Source organism: Homo sapiens, chromosome 19, assembly GCF_000001405.40.
Source record: "Homo sapiens chromosome 19, GRCh38.p14 Primary Assembly".
In the NCBI taxonomy this organism is placed as follows: Eukaryota; Metazoa; Chordata; class Mammalia; order Primates; family Hominidae; genus Homo; species Homo sapiens.
Window position 1 is genome coordinate 727,389 of NC_000019.10, and position 20,941 is coordinate 748,329.

A 20,941-nucleotide genomic window follows, 5' to 3' on the forward strand; every position below is an offset into this window, starting at 1 on the left:
CTGACCCCCAACCTCGATTGTGATTCTGACCTCAGCACTGATCCCAACCATAACCCTGACCCCAACCTTGGTCCTGCCTCAACCCCGACCCTGATCCTGACCCTGACCTCAGTCTTAAGTCTTAACCCTGGCCCTGGTCCTGCCCACGACTCTGACCTGGATCCCTGCTGCTCAGTCCAAGGCACTGCGGGAGCGCTGGCTGCTGGAGGGGACGCCGTCCTCGGCCTCAGAGGGGGATGAGGACCTGAGGAGGCAGATGCAGGACGACGAGCAGAAGACACGGCTGCTGGAGGACTCGGTGTCCAGGTGGGGGCTGCAGCGTGGGTGCCACCGGGCTGGGTGGGGCCTCGGGGGCCGCTGGCTCCCGGGAGGGTGTGGGCTGGGAAGAGTCGTCAGTGTGCTTTGAGGGAGATGCGTGGACCGGGCAGGCCAGGACCCAACATGCTTTGAGGGGGACGCAGGACGGGACAGATCAGGTTGGGGCATCCACCTGGGTCTGGGGCAGCTTGCTGGGGGCAGAGGCTGGCTGCGTGGCCTCAGGCAGGGAGATACCCCTTTCCCTTCCCACCGCCCTCGTTTGAGCCAGCGAGGGACGTGGCGTCGAGCTCCTGGGTCCCTGGAGCTGGCCAGCGGGGGACGTGACGTCGAGCTCGTGGGTCCCTGGAGCTGGGTGTTGCCGGCATTGGCCTCCCTGGGGGCTTCCTGGCGCCAGCCCAGCTGGCGGGCAAGCGCTCCCATGGTTCGAACGGGATGGATGCAGAGCAGCTGGGCCCGCAGGAAGCTCGGGCGGGGGCAGGAAGGGGACAGGATGGGGAAAGTGGCAATCCCTGTGGGGGCTGGGACCAAAGGCCTGGAGTTTCCGGCGGGCGGGAGGCCCAGGCTGTGCTCGGGGGCAGCAGGGTCAGGGTGGAGGGAAGTGACGACCAAGATTCCAAACGTCTGCCCTGGCCAGGGAAGGTGCCCAGAGGCGGGAGGCCGGCCGGATCACACGGACCTCGCAGGCCCTTCCCAGACGCTGGGTTCTGACCCCGTGGGGGCCCCTCCCTGCCCAGTTCTGCCCATTTGCTTTGAAGAAAGCACGTTGGGGGTGTTCGGGATGGACTTCCCTCCTGGGCAGGGCGTGTAAAGGCATGGACAGGCCGGGTGCGGTGGTTCACACCCCTGATCCCAGCACTTTGGGAAGCCGAGGCAGGAGGATCACTTGAGATCAGAGGTTCGAGACCAACCTGACCAACATCGTGAAACCCCATCTTTACTAAAAATACAAAAATTAGCCTGGTGTGGTGGTGCCCAGCCTGTAATCCCAGCTACTCCGGAGGCTGAGGCAGAAGAAGGCCAGGCGCGGTGGCTCAAGCCTGTAATCCTGGCACTTTGGGAGACCGAGGTGGGTGAATCACGAGGTCAGGAGATCGAGACCATCCTGGCTAACACAGTGAAACCCCGTCTCTACTAAAAATACAAAAAAATTAGCCAGGCGTGGTGGCGGGCACCTGTAGTCCCAGCTACTCATGAGACTGAGGCAGGAGAATGGCGTGAACCCGGGAGGCGGAGCTTGCAGTGAGCCAAGATCTCACCGCTGCACTCTGGCCTGGGCAACAGAGTGAGACTGGGTCTCAAAAAATAAATAAATAAATAAAAATAAAGGCATGGACATGCTGGGCGTGGGTGGGGCTCACACCTGTAATGCCAGCACTTTGGGAGGCCGAGGCAGGAGGATCACCTGAGGTCAGAGATTTGAGACCAGCCTGGCCAAGATGGCGAAACCCAGTCTCTACTAAAAATGCAAAAATTAGGTGGATTAGTGGCGGGCGCCTGTAATCCCAGCTACTGGGGAGGCTGAGGCAGGAGAATTGCTTGAACCCAGGAGGCGGAGGTTTCAGTGAGCCGAGATCAAGCCACTGCACTCCAGCCTGGGGGACAGAGCGAGAATCTGTCTAAAAAAGGAAGGTATGGACAGGGTGGGGCAGTTCTGGTGGGTTTGGGGCCTTGGAATGAGCCGAGTGTTACCCACTCCCTGGGCCTCAGTTTCCTCACCTGTGAACCAGGGAGGCAAAAATCCCACGGTGCGTCTTTTTTTTTTTTTTTTTTTTTTTTTGAGAAGGAGTCTCGCTCTGTCGCCCAGGCTGGAGTGCGGTGGCGCGATCTCAGCTCACTGCAAGCTCCGCCTCCCGGGTTCACGCCATTCTCCTGCCTCAGCCTTCTGAGTAGCTGGGATTACAGGTGCCCGCCACGCCTGGCTAATTTTGCATTTTTAGTAGAGACGGGGTTTCACCATGTTGGTTAGGCTGGTCTCGAACTCCCAACCTCAGCTGATCCGCCCGCCTCTGCCTTCCAAAGTGCTGGGATTACAGGTGTGAGCCACTGCGCCTGGCCCCACTGTGCATCTTAATTCCAGCAAACATTAAGCACCAGCTGTGTCCCTGGGCTGGACGGGATGTTCAGACCGAGGTGGGGCTGAGACGGGCCTGGCCCTGTCTGCAGAGAGGTGGATGGTCAGACACCTGGGCGAAGGCAGTGGGAGTTACTGGCCGTGGGGGCTGGGCACACTGGTGTTCTTTTCACGCGGCCCTAGTGGGCACAGGCTCAGGCCCCTCGATGGAGGGTGAAGACCTGGCTTGAGGCCTAGTTTGCTTTCAGAGGCTTCAGCTTCACCCCTCCCCAGGGCAGCCTGCTTCTCAGGTGCTGAAACTGAGCTGCTCTGGGTCTCCACTACCCACCTTCTGCCTGCTCAGGGGCTCTGCCCAGGCACCTCCTGCAGGAAGCCCTCCAGGCTGACTGTGGGCTCCCAGACACCTCCTGCAGGAAGCCCTCCAGGCGGCTGTGGGCTGGACCCCTCTTCTGGTTGGAGGGGACACAAGTCTGGCTCTGTGTCCAACCTGTCAGCCTGGGCCCACCTTGTTAGACTTACGCACTCAGCCCTCGTCTGTCCTGTCCTCAGGCTGAGGCTGAGCTGCCGTGAATGTCGCCCGCCCTTGCCAGACCCCGGGGCTGGGATTTCATATCCCGGTTTTGTTTTCCTGGATCTGCTTGTCCCGTTATCTCTTCTAATACTTGGAAAGTGACATGGTTTTTCCAGTTTCCCTGGTGAGATAAAGTTTCCTGTTAAAATGTGCAAATTTGAGCGGGAAAGGAGAGTTCATTTGATACAGACAGTGACATAAACAGCGCAGGCCAGGGGTCAGGGGACACAGGGAGTCAGCCCTGGTTTGGATCCCGCCTCTGCTACCTGCTGGCCATGTGGCTTTTGCACTCCGTGCCTCAGTTTCCCCCATCATGAAAGAGCACGATGCCTCTTGGGGCTGCCTGGGAGCCTTAAATTCAGAGAGCTAGGCCGAGTGCGGTGGGTCACGCCTGGAATCCCAGCACTTTGGGAGGATGAGGCGGGCAGATCACCTGAGGTCGGGAGTTCAAGACCAGCCTGGCCAACATGGTGAAACCCTGTCTCTGCTAAAAATACAAAAAATTAGCTGGGTGTGGTGGTGCACGCCTGTAATCCCAGCTACTCGAGACCCTGAGGCAGGAGGATCACTTGAACCCGGGAGGTGGAGGTTGCAGCGAGCCAAGATCACGCCATTGCACTCCAGCCTGGGCAACAAGAGCGAGAATCTGTCTCAAAAAAAAGACACTGGGGAGCTGTCGTACAGAAGGTGCCCAGAGCCCCACCGGGGATGCAGGAGTCACCCTCACAGGCACACCCTCTCCCCAGGTTGGAGAAGGAAATTGAGGTGCTGGAGCGTGGAGACTCCGCCCCAGCCACTGCCAAGGAGAACGCGGCGGCCCCGAGCCCAGTCCGGGCCCCAGCCCCGAGTCCAGCCAAGGAGGAGCGCAAGACAGAGGTGGTGATGAATTCACAGCAGGTAAGGGGGTGACTGGGGGGAGCGGATCCCCAGGCACCCACTCCCGCTGGCCCCAGAGCGAGGCCCCAGCCCTTCCATGTCAGCGTAGCTGAGGGGACAGGCACAGACTAGAGCCAGGCACTTGATTTCCAGCTCACCGGAGCCACTTCCCAGCTGTGTGAGCCGGGACACGTGGTTTCGCCTTGCTGGGCCTCGGTTTCCCCATCTGTAAGATGGGGGAGTAATCAGAGCAGCCACCGCTGGGGGCATCAGAAGGACTCAGGGAAGCAGGAGACCCACCTGGGGGCATCAGAAGGGCTCAGGGAAGCAGGAGACCCACCTGGGGGCATCAGAAGGGCTCAGGGAAGCAGGAGACCCGCCTGGGGGCGTCAGAAGGGCTCAGGGAGCAGCAGGAGACCCGGTGCTGGTGGGTGTGGTCATAGTGTTTTTTTGCTTTTGTTGTTTTTTGAGACTCGTTCTGTTGCCCAGGCTGGAGTGTAGTGGTACAGTCTGCAACCTCCACCTCCCAGGTTCAAGCAATTCTCCTGCCTCAGCCTCCCAAGTAGCTGGGACTACAGGCGCCTGCCACCATACCCGGCTAATTTTTTTGTATTTTTAGTAGAGATGAGGTTTCCCCATGTTGGCCAGGCTGGTCCCAAACTCCTGACCTCAGGTGATCCACCCAACCTCGGCCTCCCAAATTGCTGGGATTACACGCATGAGTCACCTTACTTGGCCTGGTTATTTTGTTTCTGTGTTTGTTTTTGACACAGGGTCTCACTCTGTCACCCAGGCCAGCCAGAGTGCAGTGGCACAATCACAGCTCACTGCAGCCTCGACTTCCCCAGCTCCAGCGATCCTCCTGCCTCCGCCTCCCGAGTAGCTGGGACCACAGGCACGCACCACCACGCCCGGCTAATTTCTGTATTTTTGGTAGAAACGGGGTCTCTGCTGTCCAGGCTGGGGTTTTCATGGTTTCTATCGATCACCTGCATCTGTTTCATGTGGCCAAGGCTCCTGAAAGCCCTTCCTGTGGGAACAGTATCCCCGTGTGATGGAAGTAAAAATCGCAGCCCACAGAGGCAGAGAGGCTGGCTCAAGGCCACACAGCTGAGTGGTCCTTAGTGGAGTCGGCTGTTAATTCTGGCATCTGCCATCTAAGCCAGACGATGTTAAAACCAGACCCTTGGCCGGGCTTAGTGGCTCACGCCTGTAATCGCAGCACTTTGGGAGGCCGAGGCAGGCACATCATTTGAGGTCAGGAGTTCAAGACCAGCCTGACCAACATGATAAAACCCCATATCTACTAAAAATACAAAAATTAACCAGATGTCGTGGCCGGCACCTGTAATCTCAGCTGCTCGGGAGGCTGAGGCTGAGAATCACTTGTACCCAGGGGGCAGAGGTTGCAGTGAGCTGAGATCACGCCACTACACTCCAGCCTGGGAGACAGAGCAAGATTCTTTCTAAAAAAAAAAACCTGGTTCTGGGCACAGTCCTGGACCTCACTGAGCTCACGTCAGGTGGGAAGATGGCGTGTATTGGGGACCACCCAGGGAGGGTGGTCAGGCCGAAGAGGTGGGAAGCCCAGGGCGCTGTGGAATCCCCAAGGAAGTGCCTCATTCGTGGGAGGGCTGGGCAGGCGACCTGGAGGATGTGGGTTTCGTGGGAGGGCTGGGCAGGCGACCTGGAGGACGTGGGGTGGTTTTTTTGTGTTTTTTTTTTTGAGACAGAGTTTCACTCTTGTTACCCAGGCTGGAGTGCAATGGCACGATTTCAGCAACCTCTACCTCCTGGGTTCAAGTGATTCTCCTGCCTTAGCCTCCTAAGTATCTGGGATTGCAGGCGCCCGCCACCACGCCCAGCTAATTTTGTATTTTTAGTAGAGACAGGGTTTGGCCATGTTGGTCAGGCTGGTCTCGAACTCCTGACCTCAGGTGATCCGCCCGCCTCGGCCTCCCAAAGTGCTGGGATTAGAGGCATGAGCCACCGTGCCCAGCCAAGGAAGTGGGTTTTGAAGGTTGAATAGGAGTTCTCCAGGTGCTTTTCCCTGAAGGTTGTTTGAGCATGGACTAGTGCTGTCATGGGAGACTCAGCAATACACATGCACGGCCCCTGCCTTCCTGACGGGCACACCCAGTGACGTGATGAGGGAAGAGTGCACTGAGGGAGCATCAGACACCACAGCCCTGAGACAGGAGTGTGTCCCAGAAACAGCAAGAAGACCAGGGATGCCAGGGCACAGTTCAGGGAGAGGGGCCTGTGTGCAGGGTCTGACCATGCAGGGCAGAACGGGTTCAGACAGGCGACACTAGACCCTGAGCCTCGCACAGTGGCTCCCAGGAGGCCAAGGGAGGAGGATCGCTTGAGAGCAGGAGTGGACGAGACTGGAGGGGGCACGGAGGAGCCGGCTGGATTCAGGGTGGCCTGCGGGAGCCGCTGATGCGGGGGTATGTGGGGAGGGAGGGAAGAAATGAGATGGAGCGGACGTGGTGGCTCAGCCTGTAATCCCGGCACTTTGGGAGGCCGAGGTGGGTGGATCACCTGAGGTCAGGGGATCGAAACCAGCCTGGCCAACATGGAGAAACCCCGTCTCTACTAAAAATACAAAATTAGCCAGGTGCGATGACGCAGGCCTGTAACCCCAGCTACTGGGGAGGCTGAGGCACGAGAATCGCTTGAACCCAGGAGGCGGAAGTTGCAGTGAGCCAAGATTGCCCCATTGCACTCCGGCCTGGGCGACAAGAGCGAAACTCCATCTCAATAAAAAGAAAAAAGAAAGATGACCTCTGTGTTTCTGGCCAGAGTCCCAAGAGGATAGGATGAGAAGCGGGTGCGTATGACGTCACCCACTGTGCCATGCCCTCCCCAGGCTCCTGACCCCATGGCTCCCCTTCCTCTTCCCGGGGATGCTGACGCCCCTGACCCTTCTCTCTTCTTTCTTGCAGACGCCGGTGGGCACGCCCAAAGGTAGGACCTCTGGAAGGAACTCGTGGGGCCTCGGCGCACTCTGGTGGCCAGAGAGGGGATGGCAGGGCGGGGAGTGAAGCTACAAAGTTGCTCGGTGCCTCACGCCTGTGATCCCAGCACTTTGGGAGGCCGAGGCGGGTAGATCTCCTGAGGTCAGGAGTTCGAGACCAGCCTGACCAACATGGCGAAACTCAGTGTCTACTGAAAAAATGCAAAGACAATTAGCCGGGTGTGGTGGCTCATGCCTGTAATCCCAGCACTTTGGGAGGCTGAGGCAGGAGGATCGATCGCTTGAGCCCAGGAGTTCAAGAGCATGCTGGGCAACACAGGGAGACCCTGTCTCTGCCAAACATAAAAAAATTAGCCGCCGGCCAGGCCCAGTGGCTCAGACCTGTAACCCCAGCGCTCTGGGAGGCTGAGACAGGTGGATCCCTTGAGGTCAGGAGTTCAAGACCAGCCTGGCCAACATAGTGAAACCCCGTCTCTACTAAAAATACAAAAATTAGCCGTGTGTGCTGCACGCCTGTAGTCCCAGCTGCTCGGGAGGCTGAGGTGGGAGGATCACTTGAGCCCAGGAGGTTGAGCTGTGATCGCACCACTGCACCCCAGCCTGGGCGACAGAGCGAGACCCTGTCTGTAAACTGCATTTCACGGAACGTGTCCGCTTCTGTATCGATAGCGGGACAGCCACCAGCCGGGATTGACGCTGGCGTCTGAAGTGCTTCTGGCCTGGTTTGTTGTGTGTTAATTATTCATAAGGAGAGTGTCTTCTTGTCTTACTGTAGAATTAAAAATTAATCATTAAAAAAATCCAGACAGGCCTCTCAGGGATTTTGTGAAAATCACTGGGCTGAGGATGAGGAATGAACTGTGAGGCTGCCTGTGGGATTTTCTAGGGGTTGCGGTGGGGGTCCAGGTGCCTGTGTCTGTGCGGGGCCTGTGTCTGGGGGCCCAGGTGCCTGTGTCCTGGTGTCTGGGTGGGGTCTGTGTGTCTGGGGGCCCAGGTGCCTGTGTCCTGGTGTCTGGGTGGGGTCTGTGTGTCTGGGGGCCCAGGTGCCTGTGTTTGGGTGTCTCGGTGGGGTCTGTGTGTCTGGGGGCCCAGGTGCTTGTCTGGATGTCTGGGGGCCCACAGGTGCCTGTGTCCGGGTGTCTGGGTGGGATCTGTGTGTCTGAGGGCCCAGGTGCCTGTCTGGATGTCTGGGGGCCCAGGTTCCTGTGTCCGGGTGTCTGGATGGGATCCGTGTGTCTGAGGGCCCAGGTGCCTGTCTGGATGTCTGGGGGCCCAGGTGCCTGTGTCCGGGTGTCTGGGTGGGATCTGTGTGTCTGAGGGCCCAGGTGCCTGTCTGGGTGTCTGGGGGCCCAGGTTCCTGTGTCTGGGTGTCTGGGTGGGATCCGTGTGTCTGAGGGCCCAGGTGCCTGTCTGGGTGTCTGGGGGCCCAGGTGCCTGTGTCCGGGTGTCTGGGTGGGATCCGTGTGTCTGAGGGCCCAGGTGCCTGTCTGGGTGTCTGGGGGCCCAGGTTCCTGTGTCTGGGTGTCTGGGTGGGATCCGTGTGTCTGAGGGCCCAGGTGCCTGTCTGGGTGTCTGGGGGCCCAGGTGCCTGTGTCCGGGTGTCTGGGTGGGATCTGTGTGTCTGAGGGCCCAGGTGCCTGTCTGGGTGTCTGGGGGCCCAGGTTCCTGTGTCTGGGTGGGGTCTGGGTGTCAAAGGCCCAGGTGCATGTGGGAGTCCGGATGCACTTCTGTGAAGGGGCGTTGGGCTGTCTGGGGGGTCCATGTGACCTCTCCTCTGACCCTCATCTCTCTCTCCGCTTCCACCTCCCGTGCAGACAAGCGAGTCTCCAACACGCCCCTGAGGACGGTTGACGGCTCCCCCATGATGAAGGCAGGTGGGTTGGCCCCCAGGCTCTGGGCCCCAGATCCAGCCGCTGTCAGGGACCAAGTCTCGGTCCGGGGGGCCGGGTGGGGCGGGGGCGACACCGACCTGCTCTCCGCAGCGTCTGACGGGGCCGTGGTTATGGGGGTGGCAGCTGGACCGAGGCCGAGGCTCCGAGCCTGGGGTGGGGGCCCCCTCTGCTTTGTTGCCCTGGTCCCACGCCGGCCCACGCTTCCCCGAGAAGACGGGCCCCACGCATGGCGGCTCTAACCGACGCGACCTCACGGCTTTCATTCCACCCTAATCTCACGGCTCCCTCCTGGGGCCCGCTGGGGGTGGCGCTCACGCCTGAACATGCTCGCTGCAAATCTTACCTGCTCCAGTCCTCGGGCAGTAGGACTGGCTGCCCCGGGAGAAAGTGGGTGCCCCGTCCCTGGAGGCAACCAAGCCAGGTCCCCAGCACCGCTGCGCTTCCGAGAAGCAGGGGAAGGTGGGGGTTGACGCTGAGTGCCACACGGTGCTCAAGTCAGGCTCGAACCCCTGGTCTGCCGCCTTGAATTTCTCCGCCTGCCAGAGGGGTGGGACCTCAGTACGCCATCCTGGGGCCCGGCACAGGACAGGAGCCCAATAATGAGAAATCGTCGCAGTGGGCAAAACCACTGCTATGTGAGTGAGCTGGAACAGCACAGAAAGAAGGCAGAGGGCCGGGCGTGGTGGCTCACACCTGTAACCCACCCCAGCACTTTGGGAGGCCGAGGCGGGCAGATCGCCTGAGGTCAGGAGTTCGAAACCAGCCTGGCCAACATGGCGAAACCCCATCTCTACTAAAATACAAAAATTAGCCGGGCATGGTGGTGCACGCCTGTAATCCCAGCTACTCGGGACGCTGAGGCAGGAGAATCGCTTGAACCTGGGAGGCGGAGTTTGTAGTGAGCCAAGGTCGTGCCACTGCACTCCAGCCTGGGCGACAAGAGCAAGACTCCGTCTCAGAAAAGGCAGCAAGGCAGGGAGGTGAAGAAGGACTCTGGGGTGGCTGCCCAGGACGGGACAGGGCTGGAAGGAAGGAGAGCCACCCGGAGGCCCAGGTCTCCAGCACGGTCCAGGGTGGGGGTTGCCCCAGGATGCAGCAGACAGAGGCATTTGTCAGAGCAGGTGGTGCCTGTGGGCCTCTGTGCCAGTGAGACCAGCCCTGGCAGACACCGAGGCCCAGGTCCCCCGCTGATCCCCGTGGCCACTGACTTTGTGCAGTGCACAACCTGCTCAACAGTGTGGGCAGCTCTGGACTAGCTGTCTGGGGTGGAGGGCTGAGGCTGTGCAGAGCTATAGAGTTGAAAAACAGTCGTCCCTTCACCCAGAATGCCTTTCAAGCGCCTGCTGCATGCCAGGCATTGGGGGAGAGGGTATTCTAATGAGGGCCACAACCTCTACTACGGTAGAAAAGTGAGGCCAAGGACGTTGAGCTGGAGGAAGGAGAATTTGAACCAGAGGGCTCAGGGGAGGGGAGCGTTCAACGTAAGAGGTGACGTCTGAGCAAAGACCCAGAGGTGCTGAGGGAGCAAGGCACGCAGCTATCTGGAGGAAGGTGTCCAAGGCACGCAGCTATCTGGGGAAAGGTGTTCCAGGCAGAGGGCACGGCCAGTGCAAAGGCCCCGGGGCAGGACTGCGCCTGGGGTGTTGGAGGAACGGCCAGGAGATCCGTGTGGCTGGAGCAGCGTGAGGAGGGGGAGAGGGCGGAGGAGAGATGATGGAGAGATTGTTGAGGGCCCTGTGGCAGGGGCGGGAGGGGACGTGGGCTTTTCCCGGGAGGGAGGCAGGAACCATGGGGGGCTGCAGGCAAAGCCGGGACTGCCCCGACTCCGTGCTCACCCACGCCCTCTGGTGACTGCAGGGAGAACAGACCGTGGACGGTGCCAGGTGGAGGGGACAGGGCTGCTGGGGGAGGAGGCTGGGATGGGCCGTGGAGGGGCGAGCAGTGGGCGGTTCCTTATGTTCTGAAGGTGGAGCCCCCAGGGTTTGAGGAGAAACGAGGTGTCAGGGAGGACTGGCCAGGCACGGTGGCTCACGCCTGTAATCCCAGCACCTTTGGAGGCCAAGGCGGGCAGATCATTTGAGGTCAGGAGTTCAAGACCAGCCTGAGCAACATGGTGAAACCCCGTCTCTACTAAAAAATAGAAAAATTAGCCAGGCGTGGTGGCTCACCCCTGTAATCCCAGCACTTTGGGAGGCCGAGGGGGGCAGATCATGAGGTCAGGAGATCGAGACCATCTTGGCTAACACGGTGAAACCCTGTCTCTAGTAAAAATACAAAAAATTAGCTGGGCATGGTGGCAGGTGCCTGTAATCCCAGCTGCTCGGGAGCCTTAGGCAGGAGAATCGGTTGAACCTGGGAGGCAGAGATTGCAGTGATCTGAGATCACGCCACTGCACTCCAGCCTGGGCAACAAGAGCAAAACTTTGTCTCAAAAAAAAAAAGAGGGAGGACTGAGCTGCCCCCAACGGGTGGGAAGAGCCAGGGTGGGGGCAGGTGTAGGGGGCAGATTGGGAGTAGTGTTATGGACGTGTGAGAGTGGGGCCCCTGTGGATAGGGGCTGAGTCCAGGTCAAGGTCCAGGTGGGGATGGGTGTGCGGGAGATTAGAGCCGAGTGCCTGGGCGAGGTCCCCGGCGCAGAGCAGAGTCCAGGGCCGCAGCCGGGCCTAAGCGTCGAGGTTGGGTGGGAGGAGGGAAACGAGGTGGCTATGGGGGCCGAGGGGCCAGGCGATGGCAGGGCTGCCCACGATGGGGACCGATGGCCCCTCAGAAGTGGTGAGGACATGCAGCTATCTGGGGGGTGTGCCAGGCATTGGGAACAGCCTGTGCAAAGGCCCTGAGGCTGGGCCGCACCTGGGGTGCAGTGTCATGGGTCAGGCCAGTCCTGGCAGCCCTGTTCAGCTCCCGCTGCGGGGCGGGGTCTCAGGGAGGTGCCTGGTGATCCCCAGTGCTCGTCATCTTCAAGCAGGCCTGGGGGTGGCGGGCAGCCACCAGTCGCTGTTAGGATGCAGGCTCTGTGTGGTTTCTGCAGGAATGATTTTTACAGAGTGGGGCGAGGTGCTGGCTGTGGAGTTAGGGCCCTGATGAGTAGCAAGTTCGACTATCTCAGGAGGGTTCCTTCATTCTGAGTCTAAATAGATGACGGCGTGTCCAACCGTTGGCTGGAAGGAGGCGTCAAGTCCTGGGAGCTTGGATGGTCGGGGCGGGGGCTGTGGGTCTGCAGACTGAGCCCCAGTCTCCGCCGTGACCCCGGGCAAGGCAGGATCTCTCTGGGATTCACCTGCTCCTCTGAGAAACCAGGAATGGTGGGGCTCGAGGGCTCACGTTTATAATCCCAGGGCTTTGGGAGGCTGAGGTGGGAGGATTGCTTGAGCCCAGGAGTTTGAGACCAGCCTGGGCAACATAGTGAGACCCCCATTTCCAAAAAAGATAAATAAATTAGCCGGGTGTGGTGGCGCACACCTGTGGTCCCAGCTACTTGGGAGGCTGAGGTGGGAGAATGGGGTGAGCCAGGAAGGTCATGACTGCAGTGAGCTGTGATCGTGCCGCTCCACTCCAGCCTGGCCAACAGAGGGAGACCCTGTATCTATTTAAATAATAGGCTGGGCGCGGTGGCTCACGCCTGTAATCCCAGCACTTTGGGAGGCCAAGGCAGGTGGATCACCTGAGGTCAGGAGTTTGAGACCAGCCTGACCAACATAGAGAAACCCCGTCTCTACTAAAAATACAAAAATTAGCTGGGCGTGGTGGCGGGCGCCTGTAGTCCCAGCTACGTGGAAGGCTGAGGCAGGAGAATCGCTAGAACCGGGAGGTGAGTCCAGATCACACCACTGTGCTCCAGCCGGGGCGACAGAGCAAGGCGGCTCCATCTCAAAAAAATTAAAAAGATCCGGGAACAATGAAGGCTTTCCAGATGGGCTGGGCTGGAACCTGAGCTTGACAGACAATAGTTTGGTGGCGAAACAGAGGACACAGTGCAGAGTACAGGGACGAGGACCATCTGGGCGGACAGCAGGATGGGCCTCAAATGCCAAGGAGAGGTGTTCAGACTGGTCGTCTCCAGGCACTGGGGAGCTATGGAGGGATGTAGAGTTGGGGAGGGCCGCGTCGAGAAGGTGCCCAGGCATCCCCGGCTCCGCCTGCCCCATCGCTGCTTGGCTCTGCGCTGCTGGCTCCCCCCTCCCTGGCTTGGCCGCAGCCCGGCGGGGGGGTGCGGGGGCGGGCAGGCCGTGGTGTAACCCCGTGACTCTCGTGCCAGCCATGTACTCGGTTGAGATCACTGTGGAGAAGGACAAGGTGACAGGGGAGACCAGGGTGCTGTCCAGCACCACGCTGCTCCCTCGGCAGCCGCTCCCTCTGGGCATCAAAGTCTACGAGGACGAGACCAAAGGTACGAGCACCCCGGCCCCTGCCCTCCCTCCACCTGGGCCAGAGCCCCGAACACGTGTGCTCCCAGCGTGTGGGTCTGGCGTCTGCCCCGGAATCAGGACCCCGATTCGATGTGAAGCAGATGACGCTGTTCAGGCCAGGGCCTCACCCCCTGTGGCCCACAGCTGGGCTCAGAGGTCGTTCAGCCCTGGGCTCACTGCCCAATCATTCATCCACTCCAGAAAGCTGCCTGAAAGCTGAGCCGGGCACCAGGTACCCAGCTGGGCTCTGGAGGGAAATCCGGAGGTAGATTCAGCTTCTGTCCTTGCCGGGTGGCAAACCGGGCCCTTCCATCTGGAGCTCCTAAATAATTCGTTTAAATAATTACTGCTAGCCCAAGGGCTCACGCCTTTAGTCCCAGCACTTTGGGAGGCCGAGGGAGGAGGATCGCTTGAGCCCAGAAGTTTGAGACCAGCCTGGGCAGCATAGCAAGGCTCCGTCTCTACCAAAAAAAAAAAAAAAAAAAAATTACCCTGGCATGGTGGTGCGTGCCTGTGGTCCCAGCTACTTGGGAGGCTGAGATGGGAGGATCACTTGGGCCCAGGAGGTTGAGGCTGTAGTGAGCCGTGATCGCACCACTGCACTCCAACCTGGGCAACAGAGTGAGACCCTGTCTCTTAAGAATAAAAAATAATAATAAAGAATTGCTAGCGTGACAGAAGCCACAGAAAATGCACATCCAGGGGGCTGTGAGAAGTCTCACAGGGTGAGGATGGGGCCGGGGGAGGCTTCCCAGAGGAGGCAAGCAGGGGCTCATCAGAGACACGCAGTGCATGGGAACCACACCTGGCAGAGCCGCAGCCCCTGCAAAGGCCCTGAGGTAGGATGGAGTCAGCTGGGCTGGAGGGCTGAGGGGAGTTGGGCTGCAGGAGTGAGGGGAGACGGGCTGCAGGGGTGAGGGGAGACGGGCTGCAGGGGTGAGGGGAGACGGGCTGCAGGGGTGAGGGGAGACGGGCTGCAGGGGTGAGGGGAGCTGGGCTGCAGGGGTGAGGGGAGACGGGGTGAGGGGAGACGGGCTGCAGGGGTGAGGGGAGACGGGCTGCAGGGGTGAGGGGGAACCAGGTTGGTCAGGGAGTTGAGGAGCTGGGCTCACGCAGGGAGGAGAAGGGTGCTTTGCCTGGAGGCAGGGGGACAGGCGGGGCCGTGTCCTGAGGGCTTTGGGAAGCCTTGGGTGCGTTGGGTCCTGACGGTGCTGAGGTCTAATTTGGTTTTAAGGGCTCCTCCTAGAGGTCAAGAGGCAAACAGGCTGTGGGAGATGCCAGGGACCCCAGGAGGAGGAGGGAAGCTCCACACTGAAGCCCCACTCTCTCTCTTTCTTTTTCTTTTTATTTATTTACTTTCTGAAGAAAGAGTTTCACTCTGTCGCCCGGCCCGCAGTGCAGCGATGCCATCACAGCTCACTGCAGCCTCCAGCTCCTGGGCTCAGGCGATCCTCCTGCCTCGGCCTCCCGAAATGCTGAGACCACAGGCATGAGTCACTGCACCCGGCCTCTTTTTCTTTTATGAGATATAATTCGCAGACCATAAAATTCCGCCTTAATGGGAGGCTCATCTGGGCCCGGGACATTGAGGCTGCAATGAGCTATGATGGCACCCCTGCACTCCAGCCTGGGCCACAGACCAAGACCCTGTCTCAAAAACAAGAAAGAGGAGAGAAGCCCCATCCCCATCAGCTGTCACTTCCTGTCCCCTCCCCAGTCAGCGTCACTCCCTATCCCCTCCCCAGCTCTGGCACCCACGCATCCCCTCCTGTCTCTCTGGATTGGCCTGTCCTGGACATTTCATAGAAATGAGATCACACGGCCGGGTGCGGTGGCTCACACCTGTAATCCCGGCACTTTGGGAGGCCGAGGCGGGTGGATCACCTGAGGTCAGGAGTTCGAGACCAGCCTGGCCAACATGGAGAACCCCCGTCTCTGCTAAAAATACAAAAATTAGCTGGACGTGGTGGCGGACGCCTGTAATCCCAGATACTTTGGAGGCTGAAGCAGGAGAATCACTTGAACCCAGGAGGCGGAGGTTGCAGTGAGCCGAGATCGCGCCACTGCTCTCCAGCCTGTGCGACAAGAGTGAAACTCTGTCTCAAAAAAAAAAAAAAGAAAGAAAAGAGAATAAATGGGGTCACACACTGCACGTGGCCTTCTGTGTCTGGCGTCTCTCACTGGGCGTGACGTCCCCAAGGTGCATCGGCACTGTGGCCTGGGTCGGAGCCTGACTCCTTTTCATGGCTGAATACTATTCCACGGGTTGGGTGGGCCATGGTGGGTTTATCCCTTCTTCCATCTGTAGACAGTTGGGCTGTTTCTACCCTTTGGCTGCAGTGAGTAGCATGCTGGGGAATTTGTGTGCAAGTATTTGTTCACGCCCCTGCTTTCGAGGCCTTTGGGTGTACACGTAGGAGTGAACTGCTGGGTCCTGAGGCGACTGTGTGGAGCTCCGTGAGGACCTGCTGTTTTCCACGGAGGCTGCACCGTCCCGTTCCCACAGGTCGTGGATGAGGGCCCAGTTTCTCCACGTCCTCACCAGCGCTCGTAGCCCATTCTCGTGGCTGTCCTGGTGGCGTGACGTGGGGTCTCCCTGTGGTTTGGATTCCCAAAGCCTTCTGTTCTCAGAGGCAGCTTGGCCTCTGCGGTGCCCCAGATGCTGTCAGAGGGGTCCCCGCAGCCCAGCTCTGGAGTGGCTTTGGGGTGTGGCGTTGGTGGCATCTCAGCTCTAGCTCTCCCCAGCTGTGTGGCCCTGGGAAGTCCCCATGCCTCGTCTTCCGGATGAGGTCCTCACCCCCATCACTCCACCCTCCTCAGCCTCACCTGGTCCCTGGGGATTCCAGACCTGCCAGGCTGGACACTGGTTGCTTAGCAACGGGCAGGTGATCCGTTTCCATGGCAGCCGAGGGCTCCAATTCCTGTCTTGGGGCAGCGGCCAGTGGGACACACTGAGTTCAGTTCCGCCTGATCCAGACACACCCCACCCTCTGGGCCTCCAGCCCAAAGTCATTGAGATGCCTTGAAGCATGGACTCCCCTCCCTGGGGGCTTAGAAACTGAAAGTGGAGAACACTTTCCTTCTGGTCTGTAGCCAGGAACAGGAGCCCTGACCCTTGGCCGAGAGGAGGCGAGTCCCTGGGACCCCCCTTGCGTCCCTCCCAACTCCCAGCGTGGCCCAGGCAGCCGTGTTTCTAGAAGGAATTTGCAGGGCTGTGAGCTAGGGCTGGTGTTAGATCATAGCAGGGAGCCGTGGGGTGCTGAAATCCGGTCCTTGGAGAGTCCAACACACCTCAAGAAATGTCAAGTCAGAGACACACAGATAAGGAAATTTGGAAAGACTTGAGAAACACATTTAGCAAGATTGATTATATGTATAAAATGCTACCCAGTGGAGAATACACATTCTTTTCAAACACAGAACATTGTCAGAAAGTGACCACCGTGGCCCAGGCTGCCAAGGAGGTTTTAGGACTGTTAACAGAGTTTGTATCTTCTGCTCTGTGTTCCTCTCCTCCCTGAAATTTAAAAACACCCTCTAAATAAATTGTGGCTTCCTGTGGCAATCAATCAAACTAGGAATTAAAAACTATTTACACTTGAAAATGAATAACATTGGCCGGGCATGGTGGCTCACGCCTGTAATCCCAGCACTTTGGGAGGCTGAGGCAGGAGGATCACGAGGTCAGGAGATCGAGACCAGCCTGGCTAACAAGGTGAAACCCCATCTCTACTAAAAATACAAAAAATTAGCCAGGTGTGGTGGCAGGCGCCTGTAATCCCAGCTAGTCAGGAGGCTGAGGCAGGAGAATGGCGTGAACCCGGGAAGCAGAGCTTGCAGTGAGCCGAGATGGCACCACTGCACTCCAGCCTGGGCGACAGAGCGAGACTCCATCTCAAAAAAAAAAAAAAATAGAAAGTGAATAACATCATCTAACTCGTAGGACACAGCCAAAGCAGACCTCAGAGGAAAATGCATAGCCTTTAGGGAAGCTCCTAGAAAACAAAAATAAATGAATGAAACTTTAACTCAAGTTAGAATGAATGAAAATTTCAATTTAAGATCAATCAAATACACCCATAGATGGAAAAAATCAGAATCCCTGTAATGGCCAGGCATGGTGGCTCACACCTGTAATCCCAGCACTTTGGGAGGCCAAGGCGGGTGGCTCACCTGAGGTCAGGAGTTCAAGACCAGCCTGGCCAACGTGGTGAAACCCCATCTCTACTAAAAATACAAAAATCAGCCGGGCATGGTGGCGGGTGCCTGTAATCCCAGCTACTCTGGAGGCTGAGGCAGGAGAATTGCTTGAACCTAGGAAGTGGAGGTTGCAGTGAGCTGAGACTGCGCCACTGCACTCCACCCTGGGCGACAGAGGGAGTCAAAAAAAAAAAGCAGCAGGCACGGTGGCTCACGTGTGTAATCCCAGCACCTTGGGAGGCCAAAGTGGGTGGATCACCTAAGGTCTGGAGTTCAAGACCAGACTGGCCAACGTGGTGAAACCCCATCTCTACTAAACGTACAAAAATCAGCCTGGTGTGGTGGCAGGTGCCTGTAATCCCAGCTACTCTAGAGACTGAGGCAGGATAATTGCTTGAACCTGGAAGGTGGAGGTTGCAGTGAACTGAGATCGTGCCATTGCACTCCAGCCTGGGCAACAAGAGCGAAACTCCATCTCAAAAAGTGAAAGAATCCCTGTAACCTCCAGTTCCCCAGGGTGGGTGGTCCTGTCTTGTAGAAGAGAAACAGGCCCCGATGCGGGGAAGGAGCAGGGGTTTGGCTCTGTGACCTTGGCCCAGCTGTGTCCCTTCTTTGAACTTTCATTTTTGCTATCTTTACAGCGGAAATGAATCCCTACTTTTCAGGGTGATCACGTGGGAGCTAGTTGGCTAAAGAATATGGAATTACAGGCCAGGTGCGGTGGCTCACGCCTGTCATCCCAGCACTTTGGGAGGCTGAGGTGGGCAGATGACTTGAGGTCAGGAGTTTGAGACCAGCCTGGCCAACATAGTGAAACCCCAGCTCTATTAAAAATACAAAAAATTAGCCAAGCATGTTGGTGCATGCCTGTAATCCCAGCTACTCAGGAGGCTGAGGCAGGAGAATTGCTTGAACTAGGGAGGCGGAGGTTGCGGTGAGCCGAGACAGTACCACTGCACTCCAGCCTGGGCAGCTCCATCTCAGAAAAAAAAAAAAAAAATCCCAATTCATTCCTTTCCACTCTTTCTTGGTTCCTAATAAATGTTTTTGTGCTTATAAATTTTCCTCATTGTCGGCTGGGCCTGGTGGCTCACGCCTGTGATCCCAGCACTTTAGGAGGCCAAGACGGGCGGATCACCTGAGGTCAGGAGTTCGAGACCAGCCTGGCCAACATGGAGAAACCCCGTCTCTACTAAAAATACAAAATTAGCTGGGCGTGGTGGCGGATTCCTGTAGTCCCAGCTACTCAGGAGGCTGAGGCAGGAGAATCGCTTGAACCCGGGAGGTGGAGCTTGCAGTGAGCTGAGATCACGCCATTGCACTCCAGCCTGGGCGACAGAGTGAGACTCCGTCTCAAAAAAAATTTTTTTTCCTCATTGTACGGCATTGGCTGCATCCACAGATGCCAACAGGGGGCTTTAATTGTCTGTCAGTTCTGACGGTGTAATCTAGTTCGTGATTTCCTCTTTAGCCTGGAGGAGGATACAAGCCTTGCCAAGGTTTCCCTCCTGCCTGAGCCAGGTCACTCTCTCTGTCCCTCCTGCCTGGAGCTGGGTCATTCTCTCTGTCTCTCCTTGTACAGTGGTCCATGCTGTGGACGGCACCGCCGAGAACGGGATCCACCCCCTGAGCTCCTCCGAGGTGGACGAACTCATCCACAAAGCGGACGAGGTCACGCTGAGCGAGGCAGGGTCCACGGCCGGGGCGGCAGAGACCCGGGGGGCTGTGGAGGGGGCAGCCCGGACCACGCCCTCCCGGCGGGAGATCACCGGTGTGCAGGCACAGCCAGGCGAGGCCACGTCCGGCCCGCCGGGGATCCAGCCCGGCCAGGAGCCCCCGGTCACAATGATCTTCATGGGTTACCAGAACGTGGAGGATGAGGCCGAGACCAAGAAGGTGCTGGGCCTTCAAGATACCATCACGGCGGAGCTGGTGGTCATCGAAGACGCGGCTGAGCCCAAGGAGCCTGCACCACCCAACGGCAGTGCTGCCGAGCCTCCCACGGAGGCCGCCTCCAGGGAAGAGAATCAGGCGGGGCCCGAGGCCACCACCAGCGACCCCCAGGACCTCGACATGAAGAAGCACCGTTGTAAATGCTGCTCCATCATGTGAGCCGGCCCCCGAGACCCCGGCCCCCACCCCACACCACAGACACCCACCAGCCCGGCCCCTCCCGGCGCCTGCCCACCCTCCACCCACAGCCTCACGGGTCCAGGACTTGGCGTGTTGTTACATGTTCCTTCCGAGTTTTCTTTCGCTGGAAAGAGGGACAGGGGCCCCCACCCGTCACCACGCCCCAACACTCCCCCCGAACCAGAGCCGTGCACTTGTGCCTGGTAGGAGAGAGACAGGACAGACCCGCTTTTCCCGAGACAAGGACCCCCCATGTCACGGCAGCTTCACAGACGCGGCTCGCGCCCACCGGGGTCCTGGCGGGTGGGACCCGCAGCCTCCACGCGGCCCAGGCCAGCCTGCCACCCTCTGGGCCTCCTACCTGTGCCTTTCTCTGAGGGGACACCCCGCCAGAGAGGGCCCCGGGAGCCGGGGGTGGGTACTGAGGCCTGCTCAGGCCCTGGAAGTGAGGCTCTATGGGGTTCCCTGGCCAAGGCGCTGGCCCCCCAATCTCAGGCAGTTGGGGTGAGGCCGTGCCTCTTTGGGGGCTAAAGGTCTTGGGTGGAGGACAGGCCCCTCTGCTGTGCCCCTATGCCCTGTGTGGGCCCAACCAGTGGACAATGGAGTCTGGGGGAGGGGGAACCCCGGGGACATGCCCCCACCCGGGAGGGGCCGGTAACCCCTGGGCTATCTTCTAGACGGGGCGAACCAGGGGTCATTGACCTGCCCCCTGCACAGGGCAGGGACCGAGTGAGCCACTCCTTGTCCCGAGCTCCCGCCCCCACTGGGCCCTCCTTCCTCCTGGTGCTAATTTGGGGACCCCAGGGGCCGCCCCCGGCCTCTTCTCCATCCTGCTTGGACCAGGGTCCTGGGTCTTCCCAACCATACCCCGAGATCAGGCCCCACCTGCCAGCTCTACTGGGCTTGGAGCACGTCCGGGCAGTGGAGGGAGGGACACAGCCTGGGACAGGAAGCCTCTTGGGTTGGAGCAGGAGACCCTCATTTGCCACCCAGACCAATGTGAGCCTGCCCCCAGCCCCCTCTCATTGGAAGTGGCAAGGGGCTTCCCTCCTGGGGGCAGCTACACTCGTCCCCAGAGGCACATTCGTGCACATTCTCACAGACACCGTCTCACACGTTGGCTTTGGACAACCAGGCCCCAACTTGGTCCCTGCCCTAGGGACCTCCAGCCTGGTGCCCAGTGCTCAGGCCACCTCCTGGTCCAGTCACCACCTGCAGCCTCGGCAGGGCAGGTACAGGGGCCACCTCGGATGGGAGCCTGGGTCCCTGCCTCCGCTCTGCCCCTGGGTGGCTGGGAGGAGAGGCCCTCTCGGGGGTGACCTGGGCGTCAGCCGTGGAACCCCCTCCTCCTCCCTGGAGTCTGCCTGAGTCCCTCGAGCCGCGAGCCTTCGCTGAAGTGCCCTTGCTATAACCCCCTCTGCTTCTGGTGTGTGACGAGGCCCCCGATGTTCTTGATTTTCCCAGAGAAGCAAATAAACAGCGTGAACAGCCCCA

General features: G+C 59.1%; 1 protein-coding gene across 5 annotated transcripts in view, besides 2 other annotated features; it reads left to right on the plus strand.

Annotated features, from left to right (window-relative positions):
* The window catches only part of PALM (paralemmin), a 39,395-nt gene extending 18,454 nt beyond the window's left edge, over positions 1 to 20,941 (plus strand). For 3 of the 5 annotated variants that reach the window (NM_002579.3, XM_005259565.5, XM_005259566.5), the window contains exons 4-9: positions 176 to 306; positions 3,707 to 3,857; positions 6,785 to 6,806; positions 8,631 to 8,690; positions 12,964 to 13,095; positions 18,897 to 20,941. In NM_002579.3, the coding sequence (NP_002570.2) occupies positions 176 to 306; positions 3,707 to 3,857; positions 6,785 to 6,806; positions 8,631 to 8,690; positions 12,964 to 13,095; positions 18,897 to 19,426 (1,026 nt within the window). In that variant the 3' untranslated portion in view covers positions 19,427 to 20,941. The remainder of the gene's footprint in view (positions 1 to 175; positions 307 to 3,706; positions 3,858 to 6,784; positions 6,807 to 8,630; positions 8,691 to 12,963; positions 13,096 to 18,896) is intronic. The other 2 variants (NM_001040134.2, XM_017026850.3) reach the window with 1 other exon arrangement.
* Positions 6,917 to 6,966: an enhancer, noted in NCBI's record as "active region_13571". NCBI's record gives its function as "activates an Ori minimal core promoter by ATAC-STARR-seq in GM12878 lymphoblastoid cells {active_cell/tissue: GM12878}" and the evidence as "EXISTENCE:reporter gene assay evidence [ECO:0000049][PMID:35858748]".
* Positions 10,635 to 10,684: a silencer, noted in NCBI's record as "silent region_9621". NCBI's record gives its function as "represses an Ori minimal core promoter by ATAC-STARR-seq in GM12878 lymphoblastoid cells {active_cell/tissue: GM12878}" and the evidence as "EXISTENCE:reporter gene assay evidence [ECO:0000049][PMID:35858748]".